Source organism: Homo sapiens, chromosome 1 (assembly GCF_000001405.40).
Source record: "Homo sapiens chromosome 1, GRCh38.p14 Primary Assembly".
NCBI lineage: Eukaryota > Metazoa > Chordata > Mammalia > Primates > Hominidae > Homo > Homo sapiens.
In genome coordinates, this window is record NC_000001.11 from 167,022,761 (window position 1) to 167,041,710 (window position 18,950).

An 18,950-nucleotide genomic window follows, 5' to 3' on the forward strand; every position below is an offset into this window, starting at 1 on the left:
ACCTACCTTGTGGATGTTTTATATGTGTCATCTTATTAAATCCTTATTACCACTCTGAAGGAGGCGATACATGTTAGAGACCAAAAAATGCTCAGGTCACATAGCTCCTAACTGAAGGAACTGTTGTTATTCCAAGTCAGTCTGACTCCAAAGACCATGTTCCTTTTTTTTTAATTGGCTGACCTTTTGTATAGATCATGTTCCTAATGCACTATATTGTCCTCCATCTCGCATTCATCTGTTTCTGATACCAGATCTTTGAACGAGAACAATTCATAGACTAAATTTATATGTTATATTTTCTAGTAGTATATTTGTCTTTAAAAACTTCATATCCGAGCTTTGAAACCATTGTGTCTTTCTTAAAAATCAACTTCTTCAGAGGGTGGTGGCTCACACCTTTAATCCCACCAGTTTGGGAAGCTGAGGCAGCAGGATCACTTGAGGACAGGAGTTTGAGACCAGCTGAGGCATAATAGCAAAACCCCAGCTCTACAACAAGTTAAAAAGTTAGCCAGGCATGTTGGCGCATGCCTGTAGTCCTAGCTGCTAGGGAGGCTGAGGTAGGAGGATCACTTTAGTCCAGGAGTTCAAGGCTGCATTGAGCTGTGATCATGCCATTGCACTCTAGCCTGGGTAACAGGGCAAGACCCTGCCTCTACAAAACTAATAATAATAACTTTGAAAAACTCAGCTTATTAATAATTGGATGGAGAAGATGAGGAAGGTCTAAATATTCAGACTCATGACTTCAGATGCCTAAGTCTTGTTCTCTGTCACCTGAATTCAGTCCTCTGTGAATTGTTCAAGTTAATTTTTTAATTTAAATAATAGTATTGGTTGTACTTTTGAGGTATATGTCAAATAATGAAAACAATTCAATAGGCCCCAGGGATTTATTTTAAGAGAACAGCTGGTCTTTCCCTTCAAAGATAATCAAAATTCCCAAACCATATTATTAGTAAAATTCAAACCCTGTCTCCTCTTTAAAAAAAAAAACCTTTTGGCATTGAATTTGAAGTATTAATTGCCCTTCAGGAAGACTAGGTGAGCGATTGGTATACTCATGGATATCCTGGTTGACAGTGATTTCTGCCCCCTCTAACTCCAGTAGTATTTCCTTTTTATTATAACATTTAACTGTTTTTAATTACAGCTATTTTGGTTCATGACATCTCTTTTTCTCAATTGCAAACTTTGTGGTGCCCATATTTCTATATGAGAAGGTGTTCACTACATGTTAGAATCAATAATTGCCAATTTGAGTAATGGAGAAGGGATGTCAGAATTTCAAAGCCACTTCATAAGGTAAAGTACTACATGGGAAAGGGAACCATCTTTATTGTAGACTCCATTCCCATTCTTTTCCTCAAAACTAAGTGGTTAGTTTGATTTGTTCAATGAACATGTTGTGAGAGTCTGTTAAATGCTGAGTTAAAAATACTAAGATGAATAAAGATGTGGCTCCTGATCTCAAGGAACTCACAGTTTAATGGGGGAAGTAAACAATTACAGTGCATTAATAAAAGTGGTCTTAAGTATGAGGACAGATGTATGTAAATCATTGGAATAGAATTGAGAGTCTATTCCAGAAATAAACTCATGTATCTGTGCCAAGACCATTCAATGGAGGGAAGAATAGTCTTTAAAACAGATGGTTCTAGGGCAACTGGATATCCACATGCAAAATAATGAATTTAGATATGCTATGGTTTGAATGATGATGTCCCTTCAAAATTCATGTTGAAACTTAATCCCCAGTGCTACAGTATTAAGAGGTGTAGCCTTTTGGAGGCCTTCGAGCAGAGCCTTCATGAATGGATCAGCACCCTTGTAAAAAGGCTCAAGGTTGAAGGAAGCACACTCTTGTTCTTCTGTCCCTTCCACCATGTGGGGACACAGTGTTCCCTCCAAAGGATGCAGCAACAACGTGCCATCTTGGAAGCAGAGAGCAGCCCTCACCAGATACCAATTCTGCCACCACCTTCATCTTGAATTTCCCAATCTCTAGAACCATGGGAAATAAATTTCAGTTCTTTATAAATTATTCAGTCTCACGTATTTTGTTATAGCAGTACAAATGGACTGAGACAGGGACCCTACCTAACACAAAAATTAGTTCAAAATGGATTAAAGACCTAATGTAAGAGCTAAAATTATGCAACTGTTAGAGGAAGAAAATACAAGTGTAAATCTTCATGACCTTAGATGAGGAAACAGTCTCTTAATAGGACACCAAAAGAACAAACAAGAAAAAATAATTTGGAATATATCAAAACTAAGTCCTAAAAAGCAGACTTGTGTGTTAAAAGATACTATCAAGAAAGTGAAAAAGACAACACACAGAATGGGAGAAAGTATTTACAAATCATTTATCTGATAAAGGTCTAGTATACAGAGTAATAAAGAACTCTTAACAATAAAAAAGACGACCCGGTTTCTAAATAGGCAAAAGATTTGAAAAGATATTTCAAATATCTGTTCCAAAGAAGAAATACAAATGGCCAATAAGCATACAAAAAGATGTGCAACATCATTAATCATTAGCATATGCATATCAAAACAAAAAAGATACTACTTCATACTCACTAGGATGACTATCATCAAAAAAAGGAAAACAAGTGTTGGTAAGGATGTAAAGAAATTGGAACCCTCATACATTGCTGGTGGGAATATAAATGGTACAGCTGCTATGGAAAACAATTTGGCAATTCCTAAAAAAATTCAATACAGAGTGACCATATGATCCAGCAATTCCATTTCTGTGCATGTTTCTACAGAAACTTGCACATGACTGTTCATAGCAGGATTACTTGTAATAGCCCCAAAATGGATACAACCCAAATAGCCATGAACTGATAAATGAGTAAACAAGAAGTGGTATATCTACACAATGGAATATTATTCAGCCATAAAAGAGAATGAAATCATGTCATTTGCAGCAACATGAATGGAACTGGAGGCCATTAAGTGAAATAAGCCAAACACAGACAAATACTGCATGTTCCCACTCGTGGAAGCTAAAAAAGCAGATCTGATGAAGATAGTAGATTTGTGGTTACCATAGGCCAGGAAGGGGAAGGGCATGGGGGACATGAAGGAGCAAAAGGAATATAAATGTATTTATTACCACTGAACTGTACACTTATGGTAAAGATGGTAAATTGCGTATGTCTATTTTACCTCAGTAAAAAATATAGACTGGGTAGGAAGATGAATAAATTATCAAGATTACTAGATCAATGAATTGGAGGTAAGATTGAAGGATAGATAAGAGATTTTGTGGTACCAGGAGGAGTGAGCTAGAAAGACAGGAGATTGGTGGTCAGAGAGTGCAATGCATGAAATTAAGATTATAGAAGGTCACAGTTAATGACAGTGAGATAACCGGGGTATTGTTTTATGAATGAGTTCCTGAGGGAGGTAGAGAACAAGATGGTTGGAGGAGAGGCATTTAAGGAACTGAGAAGTCAGCAGTGAAACAGAATAGAGAATCCAGAAATAAACCCAAATACTTACAGCCAACTGATCTTTGACAAAGCAAACAAAAACGTAAAGTGGGAAAAGGACACCCTATTCAACAAATGGTGCTGGGATAATTGGCAAGCCACATGTAGGGGAATTAAACTGGATCCTCATCTCTCACTTTTTACAAAAATCAACTCAAGATGGATCAAGGACTTAAATCTAAGACCTGAAACTATAAAAATTCTAGAAGAGAACATTGGAAAAACCCTTCTAGATACTGGCTTAGGCAAGGATTTCATGACCAAGAACCCAAAAGCAAATGCAATAAAAACAAAGATAAATAGCTGGGAATTAAACTAAAGAGCTTTTGCATGGCAAAAGGAACAGTCAGCAGAGTAAACACAGAGTGGGAGAAAATCTTCACCATCTATACATCTGACAAAGGACTAATTTCCAGAATCTACAACAAACTCAAATTAGCAAGAAAAAAAATCCCATCAAAAAGTGGTCTAAGGACATGAATAGACAATTCTCAAAAGAAGATATACAAATGGCCAACAAATATATGAAAAAATGCTCAACATCACTAATGATCAGGGAAATACAAATCAAAACCATAATGTTATATACCACCTTACTCCTGCAAGAATGGCCATAATCAAAAAACCAAAAAATAATAGATGTTGGCATGGATGCAGTGAACAGGGAACACTTCTACACTGCTGGTGGGAATGTAAACTAGTACAACCACTATGGAAAACAGTGTGGAGATTCCTTAAAGAACTAAAAGTAGAACTACCACTTGATCCAGCAATCCCACTACTGGCTTTCTACCCAGAGGAAAAGAAGTCATTATACAAAAAAGATACTTGCACACTCATGTTTATAGCAGCATAATTCACAATTGCAAAAATGTGGAACTAACCCAAATGCCCATAATCAACAAGTGGATAAAGAAACTGTGGTGTATATATATACAATGGAATACTCAGCCATAAAAAGGAATGAATTAATAATGGCATTTGCAGTGACCTGGATGAGATTGGAGACTACTATTCTAAGTGAAGTAACTCAGGAATGGAAAACCAAACATCATATGTTCTCACTAATAAGTGGGAGCTAAGCTGTGAGGATGCAAAGGTGTAAGAATGACACAATGCACTTTGGGGAGTCAGGGGGAAAGGGTGGGAAGGGGGTGATAGATAAAAGACTACAAACTGTGTGCAGTATATTCTGCTCGGGTGATGGGTGCACCAAAATCTCACAGATCACCACTAAAGAATTTACTCATGTAACCAAACACCACCTTCTCCCAATAACCTATGGAAATAAAAAAAATTTTTTTTCTAAAGAAATGAGAGGTCAGGATGTTGGAAGAATCATCTCCATATACATTGAAATTACCAGTAATTAAGACTTGGAGAGAGTGGTAGTATCCCAGGAGCCAAAATTATTGAGAAAATGGAGGGTGGAGGTGGGGTTAACCCAAGGGTTGATAGGTGACATCAAAATGAGGGTGATAGGTGTTAAAATCTGATGACATGAAAATCAAAGCCGAGAGTTTTAGAGAGAAGGAAGATAGAAAGTAACAGTGAGAAACAAGGAGGCACTATCTCACCTCCAGGTCCAGTGGTAACAGAGGTATGAGAAAGAAAAATAGCCAGTACTTGAGAAGGCTACAAGGGAATACTGCTCTCAGGAAAGAGCCAGATTTAAGTTTTAGCAAGGAAATGAAGGGAGAAATCAGAAAAATGCTTGAGGCTGGGCACGGCAGCTCATGCCAGGAATCCCAGCACTTTGGGAGTCTGAGGCAGGCGGATCACTTGAGCTCGGGAGTTCAAGACCAGCCTGGACAACATGGCAAAACTCCATCTCTACAAAAAATACATAAATTAGCCAGGCATGGTGGCATGTGCCTGTAGTCCCAGCTACTGGGGAGACTAAGGTGGGAGGATCACTTGAGCCTGGGAGGTTGAGGCTACAATGAGCTGAGATTGCACCACTGCACTCCAGCCTGGGCGATAAAGTGAGTCTGTGTTTCAACAACAACAACAAAAAAAAAAAAAGAAAGAAAAGAAAGAAAAATGGTTGAAATTAAAGCAGTTTTGCTGATAATGAACCATAAGTTGTAGGGGGTATGGTAGAAGGGTTCAGGAATTGGTGAGGAGAAGAGACTGCAGTAGAGATGTACAGAACCTTAGGGAGATTTGGGTGTGGGAGATGAGCAGTGACTTAGGAGTCTGGTAGTTCTTGTAGTAACTGATATAAACAAGGATAAAGAACATAAGAAAGTTGGTCCTGGTGGAGTCAAAGCAGATAGGGATGGGAAGGTTACGATTGTTAGCAGACTAGGAGTTCCTGTGACTCTTCACTCATGACAATGAGATTAAAGAGGATATGGGAGTTGAGCTCCTAGAAGCAGTACACTAGTTCAAGTAGACCTCTTTTGAGTGAGTGGTCATCACTCTAAGCATGTCTGCCTCATTTTGACCCCTGTAGATGGACTGAAGGAATTTTAAGGAAGCTTAGAAGTTGGGAAGGGATGGCCTGGGAGTTGGGGGTAGGTGCAAATAGCACTGCTATCATTAGTCTGAGCCTAGGGTCAGCAGCAAAGTAGAGAGCCTGAGCCTAAGACTTCTGCCTCTCAGGGAGGTGAAATTGTATCAGGTTGGTGGCAACCCTTGGACACTGTCAGAAACAGGTTACAATCCTCTCTTAAGAAATGTTTGTCCATTTTCGTTTCCCAGGATTCCTACAAATCAAAATCAAGCAGTAAGCTCATTAAACAAAGCCTTAAAAAAGGTGACACACTGTGAGAGTAGAATCAGCAAGTAACAGTTACCCACTGCTGATACTGAAATTGTCAGACGTAGAAAATAAAAGAGCTATGCATGAAATGTTTACATAAAAGACTCATTCACAAAGAAGCGCAAGCAGATGTATTTGAAGAACAAGAAACAAAAGGAACTTCCAGAAATAAAACAAATTACTCCCCCCCTTCCCCTCCCCCTCCCCCTCTCCCTCTCCCGTCTCCCGGGTCTCCCTCTGATGCCACCAAAGTTGTGAAAGCCGAGGCTGGACTGTACTGCCGCCATCTCGGCTCACTGCAACCTCCCTGCCTGATTCTCCTGCCTCAGCCTGCAGAGTGCCTGGGATTGCAGGCGCGCGCCGCCACACCTGACTGGTTTTTGCATTTTTTGGTGGAGACGGGGTTTCGCTGTGTTGGCCGGGCTGGTCTCCAGCTCCTAACCGCGAGTGATCTGCCTGCCTCAGCCTCCCCAGGTGCTGGGATTGCAGACGGAGTCTCGCTCACTCAGTGCTCAATGTTGCCCAGGCTGGAGTGCAGTGGCGTGATCTCGGCTCGCTACAACCTCCACCTCCCAGCCGCCTGCCTTGGCCTCCCAAAGTGCCAGATTGCAGCCTCTGCCCGGCCGCGACCCCGTCTGGGAACTGAGGAGTGTCTCTGCCCGACCGCCACCCCATCTGGGAGGTGAGGTGCGTCTCTGCCCAGCCGCCCCGTCTGAGAAGTGAGGAGCCCCTCTACCCGGCAGCCACCCCGTCTGGGAGGTCGGGGGCAGCCCCCGCCCTGCCAGCCGCCCAGTCCGGGAGGGAGGTGGGGGGCGCCTCCGCCCGGCCACTGCCCCGTCTGGGAGGTGAGGAGCCCCTCTGCCCGGCCGCCACCCCGTCTAGGAGGTGTACCCAACAGCTCATTGAGAACGGGCCATGATGACGATGGCGGTTTTGTCAATAGAAAAGGGGGAAGTGTGGGAAAAAGAAAGAAGAGATCAGATTATTACTGTGTCTGTGTAGAAAGAAGTAGACATGGGAGACTCCATTTTGTTCTGTACTAAGAAAAATTCTTCTGCCTTGGAATGCTGTTAATCTATAACCTTACCCCCAACCCCGTGCTCTCTGAAACATGTGCTGTGTCCACTCAGGGTTAAATGGATTAAGGGCGGTGCAAGATGTGCTTTGTTAAACAGATGCTTGAAGGCAGCATGCTCGTTAAGAGTCATCACCACTCCCTAATCTCAAGTACCCAGGGACACAAACACTGCGGAAGGCGCAGGGTCCTCTGTCTAGGAAAACCAGAGACCTTTGTTCACGTGTTTATCTGCTGACCTTCCCTCCGCTATTGTCCTATGACCCTGCCAAATCCCCCTCTCCGAGAAACACCCAAGAATGATCAATAAATACCAAAAAAATATAAAAAAAGAAAATCACACTAAAAAAAAACACAAAAAACAAATTAGAATTGTTGAAGTGAAAAAACCCACAATGGGAAGTTAATCACAACTGAAAAGAAAATTACTGCGTTGGAAAATAGTTCTGAAGAAACGTAGAAAAAAGAGACTGGAATGGAACATAAGAAAGAGATGTTAAGAGATATGAAGGAAAAAGATGAGGTTTAAGAATAGAGAGATGGATGAGAGGCTATATTTAAAGAGATAATGGCTGAAAATTGTAAGAAATAATGAAAAACATGAATCCTCAAGATAAATATAAAAACCTATCCCAAAGATATTGAAGGGAAAATTCATGAACACCAGAGTAGACTTCGAAAGCAGCCACGGAAAAATATCACCTACAAAGGGACAATGACAGAAAACTCTGGCAGCAGCAAAGGCAGTCAGGAGATGTGAAATAATATCTCCAAAATGTTGAGAGAAAATCATTATCAAACTAGAATTGGGTACCCAATAAATTATCTTTGAAAAAAGAGGATCAAATAAATACATTTATATATTTAAAAATCTGTTGCCACCAATTGAACTAATAATAAAGGACTTCTGAAGTTATCCTAGAAGGACAGTCTGAGATGCATGATGAGATAGCAAGGACATAAAATGGCAAACGTGCAAATCTAGACAAATATTGTTTGTATAAAAATTGTAATTATTAGTATATTTATTAACTTGTGAGGTTATAAAAGGATGGGACTAAAATACTGGATCTATAATAACATGTAAGTCTGAAGGGGAGTTAAATGAAATTAAGGTATTCTAAGTTATTGAATGGTTTATTAAGAAATTAATATATTATTTTACACTCGATATTATTAAGTCAAATAGGTGTGGCAAAATTTCAGAGGTAGCCATTAAGAGAATATATATAAAGTAAATAATTCCAAACCAATAGAAAACAATTGGAATAAGGAAAAATGCAATCAACAACAATAAAATTAACTCATACCTCTGGAGGCAAGGGAAAAAAAAGAAAAACATGGGGTTGGGGAACAAGGAAAATAGTATAAAGTAAAATGGTAAAATCTAATGCAACATATCAATACTTAAAATAAATATAAATGGACTAAACTCACCAGTTAGAAGTTTGCCATTCTGAGTTTTTAAAAATCCAGTAACATGCTGCTTATAAGATTTACACCTGAAGCTAATTGCTACGGAAAGATGAAAAATAAAAGGATAGGCTGGGCACAGTGGTTCACCCCTGTAATCCCAGCACTTTGGGAGGCTGAGGCGGGAGGATCATGAGGTCAGGAGTTTGAGACCAGCCTGGGCAACATAGTGAAACCCGTCTCTAGTAAAAATATAAAAAAAATGAGCTGGGCGTGATGGCGGGTGCCTGTAATCCCAGCTACTTAGGAGGCTGAGACAAGGAGAATCACTTGAACCTGGGAGGCAGAGGTTGCAGTGAGCTGAGATAGCACCACTGCACTCCAGGCTGGGCAACAGTGCAAGACTCAGTCTTTAAAAAAAGAAAAAAGAAAAAGGATAAAAAATGTATATACTGAACCTAAAATAAAAGTTTAAAAATAGAGAAATACCAATCCTGTCATAATTATATTAATATCAAATAAAAGAATGTTTAGTATAAAAATCATTGCATTAACCAGGAAATATAAAATACTCAACATTTTTATATTTCCTGGTTAATTCAATGATGTTTCCTTTTATACACCTATTATAATAATTTCAACAAATGCAAAATGGAAACTAATAGAATACAAGGAAAAACAGACAAATCCATCATCATGCCAAAAGATTTAAACACGTCTATTATTGATAAGTCAAGCATACCAAAACCCAGTAAATATATGGAATATTTGAAATTTTAAACTAACAAATTTGATCTAATGGACAATTTCTCAATCACATTCATTTCAAACAGACATGCAACTTTTTCAAAAAACAATAATGGACCAAACCATAAATTAAATCTCAATAAATTTCAAGAAGTTGACATACAGTCATGTTCTTTCTCCACTATTCATCTATCAATAAAATTTTTTATAACATTTAAAACCTGTAAGTCTGAAAGAAATAATGGATTCTAAAACCTTCTTATGACTAAATGATAGTAAAAATTCTTCATAACAACTGTACAATAATCAAACACTACATATTAGAATATAGAAGTATTGAGAAAATATTTATATTACAAGTAAAGAAGGGCTGAAAATTCAACAATTAAATACCAACTTAAGAAGTTAGAAAAAGAATAAGCCCATTAAATATGGAAGGAAGGTGATAATAAAAAGAAAGCATCAATGAAATAGAAAAGGTACAATAGGTTCAACAAAGCCCAAGTTGGCTCTTTGAAAAATATTAAAATAGATAAAACTCTGGTGAGATAAACCAAGCAAAAAGAGGGAAGGCACAAACAACATTATGTTCCAAAAGGGGACATTAAGTTCAGACCAGCAGGGGTTAAGGACATAAAATAATAATATGAACTTTCCATACCAATAAATTTGGGAACTTGGATGAATTGGAAACAAATTCCCAGAAAAATATAATTCACTGGAAGTGTCTCAGGAAGAAAGAAAGCCTATATTTCCTGAAACAGAGAAATTGAAGCAATAGTTTAAAGTATTCTAAAGAATAAAATGCCAAAGCCACAGAGTTTAACAGCTGAATTCTAAACTTACAAGGAATAGAGTGTTTCAATATATTAAAAAAGTCATGTCCAAGTTGAGTTTCTTCAGGAGAGCAAGATGATTTAGCATTCAAAAATCTATAAATGTTATTTGCCATATTAATAGATTCAAGGAAGAAAAGTGGTGCTCACCTGTAGTCCCAGCTACTCAGGAGGATTGCTTGAGCCCAGGAGTCCGAGTCCAGTCTGGGCAACATAGTAAGACCCTGTCTCTTTAATTAATAATAAAGAGAAATTTTATGAGAGGCTTTTTGGTGACTTGGGCAGTAAAATATTGAAGTATAGAGTTTTCTTCCTCTCAAGTTAGGGTATCTTAATCTTTAAGACAGTTGATTTGGGAAGAGCTAGAGTTAATGAGTTGCCTGAGAATTTTCCTGTTTTAGAAAATAAAGGTGGAAGAGTTCTGTGTGCTTTTCCAGTAAATCAGTTGTCTTTATCAGCTGCTGAGCTGAAACTCTGTGTCCTTACTTAGCTTTAAAAAAAAAAAAAAGAAAAAAGAAAGAAACGTTCAATCCAGTCCTAGTTGGATGCCACCTTGGGATTTTATTCACCCACCACATCACAGTTTGAGGAACTGGAAAAGTTCATTTCACTCTTTGAGACGACATACAAGGATGGCAATTTAAATAAATTTGGCTTTCCAGGAGCTAAGAATCAAATCTGCCAGCAGAGTCCAAAGAGCATCCACCATTTGCACTAGACTTTGCTAAAAATAACATGCATTTTCTGTCTCCCGCTGGCACACAATGGTGTTAAGCACAGCTACTTCAACACTGGAACAGATCACAAAAGAAGGTGATGAGTGTTTAAAAAGCTTTTAACTAGTAATATTAAACCCTTGACTTTTACCAGATGCTAGCAGCACCCTTATGGAACTTTACATATTTTCTGGCACCTGCTTTTACCCAAAAAACTTGTTGGAGGCTAAAGCACTGCTGAACATGACCTGAACTTGGAGACTGGGGCATTCATTCCAGTTCCATTGAAGTATATTTAAACAAAATACAAACTCACACTTGTACCTAAATTTCCACCAGCCCTGACTTTCTAGCCAAGTCTGGAATGCAATCTCATCTCTGCCTCTCTTAGGACACTAAACACTTTCCATTTTATAATAAGAAGTGTATGTATATTTTGTCTCCCCAACTTGAAAACAAAAAGACATCCTTTTAAATTAATATCACTATTACTATTTGTAATTGGCATTGTATGTATGCAGCTCAAATTCAAAAGTTACCAGGGATACATGGTAACCCCTAGGGATGACACCATTGTCCCCATGTACTTAATTCCTTTCCCCAGGACATCAATGTGGCCAGTTGTTGGGTATTTTTCCAAAGTATTATACACCTATAGAACTATAACAGTCAGGCATACAGTCATATTCTTTATTCCTTCTTTGAAAAAATGGAAATTGTTATGTGAGGTGGGGAGGATATCTGTTCTTCTACCCATCTTAGGTTCATGGCTGAGATCCTGTAAAAAAAACAGATTAACAAGAGAAAAGCATACACATTTATAAGTTCTATGTAACATGGGAGACTTGATAAATAAATAAAGACTTGAATAAACAATTAAACCTAAGTGTTTTTTTCATAGATTTCATAAAGAATGGATAGTCATGGAGAAATACGATAGGATGAATTGGTATGGTCTAATGGTAATGAACTGGGAGAAACTTAGCGAGGCCTGCCTGTTCATATGCTTTTTGGCATCTCTTGATCTTCAGAGATAAGGATGTTCCTTTCCTTTTCCTCCAGGTACAGGAAGGGCACCTCTCACATGAGGGTCTTATGACTTACTTCAGGGGAAGGTCAGGTTGACAAGTTATGTCACCACTCTTCCTCATTGTTGCTGTCATCTACTCCACCAGATCACTCCCACTCATTCTTTGATTATTTTAGCTCTGAGCTCTGTCACACTCTCCAACACTACTTCTGCCTTAGTTCTTGGAGAGTTCAGTCTCCATGAGATGATCTTCTCATGGATCAGATGTCTTGGTTCTTTGACATCCTCTCCTCAGGAATTTGCCCTTCACCCTGCTTCTACTGTCCACTTTCTTAGACATATACCAATATCACAATTCCACACCTTCCATTTCAACATTATACTCTCTGCTCGCCACCTCCATTTTTAGCTCATAAATTCTGGCACCCCAAGTTAAACAATTCTCCTATTTTTGAACTTGTAGGTTTAATGGGACCTACAACCCATTAATTTAATCATATTTTTTCCTGTGTCATACAATGCTTTTGTTCACATTTTGACCCTTACCATGTTCAAAGTCCACAATCAAGTGTTATGATCACTCCCTGGTATACATTCCCACTTCCCTTACTAAATAATTGTGTGGCACAATCTAAAGCCTTGCTAAACACAACTCTCTGCCCACTTCACACCAACACCTACACATCTGAATAACGCTGAAGAAAAGCACACTGCCATGCTACCTGGTCTCACTGTGAATTCATGACCACCACCCTCAATGAGGCCCTTAACACTACTGCATTTCCCTCATCCACTGCCTCTCAAGTCATGCTTTTCTTTTCCTAGTCCACTCACTCGCTAACTCTTCTTTTAGATGACTCTTTCATACCTTCTCTTCTTTCCTTAAAATGCCGACATCTCCTTCCCATCCTCACTTTTAGCTTCACACTTCACTGAGGAAGAGAACTTCTATAAGCTCTCACCACCATATGCTGTGTCCCCCACTCCATCCTCAACCCTGCCTGTTAGAATGAATAACTTGTTGGTGCTCCTCTTAAGGCCAATAACTCTCCTCTTCTCTAAATCTTATCCCAGACTCAGAGTGTTGAACCAGCAGTTCTCCCCTCTTTGGCATCATTAACGGTTCCCTCCCAATTGGATCATTCCCATCACTGTACAATTAGTTCTCTCATTAAAAATAAAAATAACCCTTGAGCCCCTCTCTGTCTACTGCTTCATTATTGGCTCCCTTTTGGAGCAAAGCTTCTCAAAAGAATTATCTTTTCTTCCTGTCCTCAATTTCTCTCCTCCCATTGTCTCTTGAACTCAATCAGGCATTTGTCCATGTCACTTAACTGTAATTACTCTTATCAAGGCCACCAGTGACTTCCACATTGCTAAATCAAATGGTCCAAGTCTCAGTCCTCAACTTAATTGACCTATAAGCAATATTTTGTAGACACAGTTGAAACAGTTTCTTCACTTGGCTTCTAGGACCACGCATCCTCTTGGTTCTCTCTTGCCTTATTGGTTGCTCCTCAGTCTTAGCTGCTTTTTCATTATCTCCCTTTCTCAAAATTTTATAGTTCCCCAGAGCTCAGCTTCCAGATATCCCAATTTCAGACTTATTGCTGCCAGAACTGTGAAAGAATAAATTTCTACTGTTTTAAGCTACACATTGATGGCAATTTATTTGGCGGCTCCAGGAAATTAATGCATACTTCAATAAAGCTGCTTAAAAAAAACAAACCTGTACTGGTTCTTCATCTTAAGTCATGTCAAAGTTCAAAGTCAAAGTCCTTTCTGTAGCCACTAAGACCCTGCACTATCTCCCTGGCCTTGCTTCCCACACACCTCTGCTCCGTCTGCTGCAGCCACACTGTCCTCCTTACTCTTCCTTAAATACTCCAAGCACACTTCTGCCTCAAGGCCTTTGCCCTAGGTGGTTCATCTGCCCAGAATACTCTTCCTGTAGATATCTGCATACCTCTCTCCTCACCTTCCTCAGGTGTTGACACAAATGTCACCTTCTCAATGAGGTCTTGACCCCTTCTTCAAAATAGCAGTTATCCACATTCTGTAGCCCCCTGGCCTGATTTATTATCCACCATTGTAGTTATAAGCATTGGACATACTTTGTTTTACTCATTCATTTTTTTTAGGATTACCTTTTCCCACCACAGGGAAAAGAAATTTGTCTTTCTCTTTGTTCACTGCTTTTTTTTTAATTTGGACAAATTTATGGCGTACATGTGAAATTTTATTACATATATATAATGCATAGTGACCAAGTCAAGGTATTTAGGGTGGCCATCACCTGAGTATAATACGTTTTTATTAACTATAGTCTCCCTACTCTGCTATCAAACATTAAATTTATTATTTCTATATAAGTGTACACTTGGGTGCTTTAGCCCACTTCTCTTCAACTTTGTCTACCCTCAACTTACCCTTCTTGTTATCTTTCTATTCTCTGTCTCCACATAATCAAATATTTCAGCTCCTACATTTAAGTGAGAATATGTGATATTTGTCTTTTTGTGTCTGGTTTATTTCACTTAAGGTAATGACCTCCAGTTCCATCAGTGTTCTGTACATGACATGATTTCATTCTTTTTTATGGCCGAATAGTACTCCATCATGTATATATACCACATTTTCCTTATCCATTCATCTGCTGATGGACACTTAGGTTGATTTCATATCTTTGCTATTGTAAATAGTGCTGCAATAAACATGTGAGTGCAGGTATCTCCTTGATATATTGATTTCTTTTCCTTTGGGTAGGTACCCAGTAGTGGGATTGCTGGGTCAATCTATTTTTAGTTTCCTGAGAAATCTCCATGCTGTTTTCCATAGTGGCTGTATTAGTTTACATTCCCACCAACAATGTGTAAGAATTCCTTTTTCTCCACATACTCAGCAGCATCCATTATTTTTTGTCATTTTAATAGTAGCCATTATAAAAAGGGGTATGGGGTATGATGATATCTCATTGTGGTTTTGATTTGCATTTCTCTGATAGTGATGTTGAACATTTTTTTCATATACCTGTTGAGCATTTGTATGCCTTATTTTAAGAAATAGCTATTCACATTCTTTGCTTGCTTTTTAATGGAGTTGTTTTTTCTGTTGAGTTGTTTGAGTTCTTTTTATATTCTGGATATTAGTACCCTGTCAGATGGGTAGTTTGCAAACATTTTCTCCCATTCAACAAGTTGTCCCTTCACTCTGTTTATTATTTATTTTGCTGGGCAAAAAGTTTTTAGTTTAATTAGGTCCCATTTGTCTATTTTTGGTTTTGTTGCCTGTGCTTTTGAGGTCTTAGTCATAAATTCTTTGCATAGACCAATGTCCTAGAGTTTACTCTAGGTTTTCTTCTAGTATTTTTATAGTTTCAGGTCTTATGTTTAAGGCTTTAATCCATTTTGAATTGATTTTTGTATATGGTGAGAGCTAGGAGTCCAGTTTCATTCTTCTGCATGTGGCTAATTTTACCAGCACAATTTATTGAAGAGAGTATCCTTTCTCCAATGTAAGTTCTTGTTGGCTTTGTAAAAGGTCAGTTGGCTGTAAATACATGGCTTTATTTCTCAGTTCTCCATTCTGTTCCATTTGTCTATGTGTCTATTTTTATACCAATACCATGCTGTTTTGGTTACTATAGCTGTTCACTGCTGTTTTTACATTGCCTGGAACAGAGTAGATAATGGATAAATATTTGTGGAAGGAAAAAAAGAAGGAAGGAAGGGAGGGAGGGAGGGAGGAAGGAAGGAAGGGAGATTCCCTATACTTTTTTTCAATCAAAATGCTGGGGCCATCTTGTTATTTGATATAGGGCTTTTGTTTTTATTGTTGTTTTTGTTGGTTTAACTTTTTATTATAGAAAGTTTCAAACATACAAAAGTAGAGAAAACATATAAAGAATCTAGTGTACCTCTCACCCTGATTAAACAGCTATCAATACAAGTATGGCAAATTTTGTTTCACCTATACCCCCACCCATTCCCTATACCTCCCACCAGATTATTTTGAAGCAAATTTCAAACATATTATTTTAATTTATAAGGATTTCAGTCTGTGCCTTCGAAAGATAAGGACTAAAAAGAACAAAAACAAACCCAAAAAATCAGGCAATCTCAGTACACACCTAAAATCCATTTATAATAATGCCTTAATATTATTCAGTAGTCAGTCTTCACATTTTCTCACTTGTCTTAGAAATGATTTTGATTTTGCTTTTTGTTTTACACTTTGATTGTTTGGATTGAGATACAAATAAGTATCATATATTCTAATTTATTGATATGTCTCTTTTATTCTGTAGGTTTCCCCTTCATTTTCTGCAAACTTAAAAAATTTTGTGATAAAACAAGCTCTGTAATTTTCCATAGTTGTACTGTAGTTTCCTATAGTCTTGATTTTGCTGACTGCATGGCTGCCCTAAAAGATCATTTAACATGTTTTCCTCTGGCCTGTATCACTTATGAACTGGTAATTACATCTAGATACTTAGTCACATTTTTCCCCCACCTCAGGCCTTTACGGGTGGTGTTTGTATTTCTAATAGGAGGGACAGTCTCTGTTGTTTTCTTTTTTGAGGGTGATGATCATTGTCCAAATCCACTACTTCAGTAGGTTTTGAAACATAACGATACTATAATTCTATCCCATTCTCTTTTTCTTTTTCTTTTCAGCGGAAATACTTTTGCAAAGAGAAGCCCCTCTGCCAACACACCATATCAAATATCTGGTTTTTCTAATCATTTAAGAAAGAGAGAACAAATGTTTTATTTACCTATTTTTAAATTAATAATGTGGGTTATTCCTAGCATCTTCCAAAGGGCACCAGTGAGTTGTTGTGGTTATTTTAGTATCATTATAAAAATGGATATGTGGTTTTAAAGTTTTTACTGTAATAATTATCTTTATTATCATTGCTTAAGTCATCCTGTCTTTTGGCCAGTGGAAACTTATTTAGATTGACATCTGAGTCCTAGTGACACAATTCTAATAATCTTTGATAGCTTCCTTATTCCTTTATATTTTTCCTTTTTAATAGCCATTCTAACTGGGGTACGATGATAACTCATTGTGGTTTTGATCTATACTTCTCTGATTGTTAGTGATGTTGGACATTTTCTTCATATACCTGTTGGCTGTTTGTATGTTTTCTTTTTAGAAACGTCTATTCACGTCCTTTGCTCACAAATAACTTAATGAAGTTATTTGTTTTTTTCCTGTTGAGTTGTTTGAGTTGAATATATTCTAGGCTCACCTTCCCTAGACCTGGATTCAGCCATTTCTCCAAAAAGCCCTATTTTTGTTTGTTGGCAATGGTATTTACCACAATCTGTGTACTAGTGGTGCCTTGCTGTCAGTTTGCAGCAAAGGATTAACTCAGCAGGCATGGGTTGCCCAAACCCTGTACATTCCACAGAAAGTTTAGCCCTTGACCAACTCCTGGGAGATAACTTTGAAGGCCTTGGGATGTCTTTCCTGGTAAGAATGTCTGTTTCTTTAGGACCTTGGAAGGTAGTCTATAGTACCATACCAGGTAGTCTATGCTAACAATGTGATTTTTGATAGATGCCTTGGGCCATGCAGTATCAGTTGACCTTTGGAAATTCATGCCCACATCACTAACCCCAGATTTAAAAAAAAAAAAAAAAAAAAAGGCTTCTGTGGTTGGCACTACCTTGTATGCGCTGCTACACATCATTGCTGGGAAAAATTAAGGCTGTCCATATGACTCCACTGGGACAGGAAAAATGGAAGCTTGTATCTTGTCTTTCTTGCAATCTGCCCTATGTGCCTTTTTCCATTGCTTATTTTAATCTGTATCTTTTCATTGTAATGGACTGTAACCATGAGTACAGCATATTTGCTGAGTTCTGCCAGTTTTTCTAGAGAATCACTGAACCTAAGTTTGGTCTTGGGGATGCCTGACTACAGTCAGAAATTCTGTCTGGATTTCTTCAGCAGGCAGAACTAGAAAATATGTTTTTAAGATGAAAAATGTCATGATTTCATGCCAAATGAAATACAGGTCTACAGGTTCCTACTTAAACTTATCAATCTTGCATCTATATCTCCTTTCAACCACACCAAAAATATATAGTTCTCAATGAAACCAAATAATCACTTTTCTTTATCCTACAACACAGTAGTCTCAAAATAGCAATACCAACTCTACCACCAACAATATGACTACTGAGAACAGTTCAAGGTTTTGTTTTTGTGTTTGTTGTTCTTTTTGTCCTTAGGATTGATCTCAATGGGAATATGTGGCCAAATTGCTGTTTTAAAGTCATGTGAAGGCTGGGCGTGGTGGCTCATTCCTGTAATCCCAGTACTTTGGGAGGCCAAGGCAGGAAGATCATTTGAGACCAGGAGTTTGAGACCAGCCTGGGCAATATAGTGAGAGATTGTGTCTACAAAAAGTTAAAAAACTTAGCTGAGCATGGTGGCGCACGCCTGTGGTCTAAGCTATTTGGAAGGCTGAGGTAGGAGGATTGCTTGAGCCCAGGAGGTGGAGGCTCCAGTGAGCCAAGATCAGATACATGCTCTCAAAAAAAAAAAAAAAAAAAAGTCACTCGAGGTTGCTTTTGTAGCTTAAGTGTGATGATTGAGTTTGTATGTGCATGTGTGAGATGTGCCACCCTCGAACCTTATTATAGCATGGGCACATTACCCATCTGACATGAAAAAATATAAAATAAAGTCATTTGAAATTATTTTTCTTTGTTTCATAATGGTGTTTACTGGCTACACAAATATAATCACATTTTATTTTTGCTTTGGGGGATTATGTATTTATTTAATTTTGTTTTATAATTAAAAAATAATTTATGTTTCTAAAGACAAATCTTTGGAAT

The 18,950-nt window shown here is 38.1% G+C and overlaps 1 non-coding gene across 1 annotated transcript; it reads left to right on the plus strand.

Annotated features, from left to right (window-relative positions):
• Positions 1-18,674: 18,674 nt before the first annotated feature.
• Positions 18,675-18,776, plus strand: LOC124904834 (small nucleolar RNA U13). The gene has a single exon (XR_007067430.1). It is a non-coding gene; the product is annotated as a small nucleolar RNA U13 (small nucleolar RNA).
• The last annotated feature ends 174 nt before the right edge of the window (positions 18,777-18,950 follow it).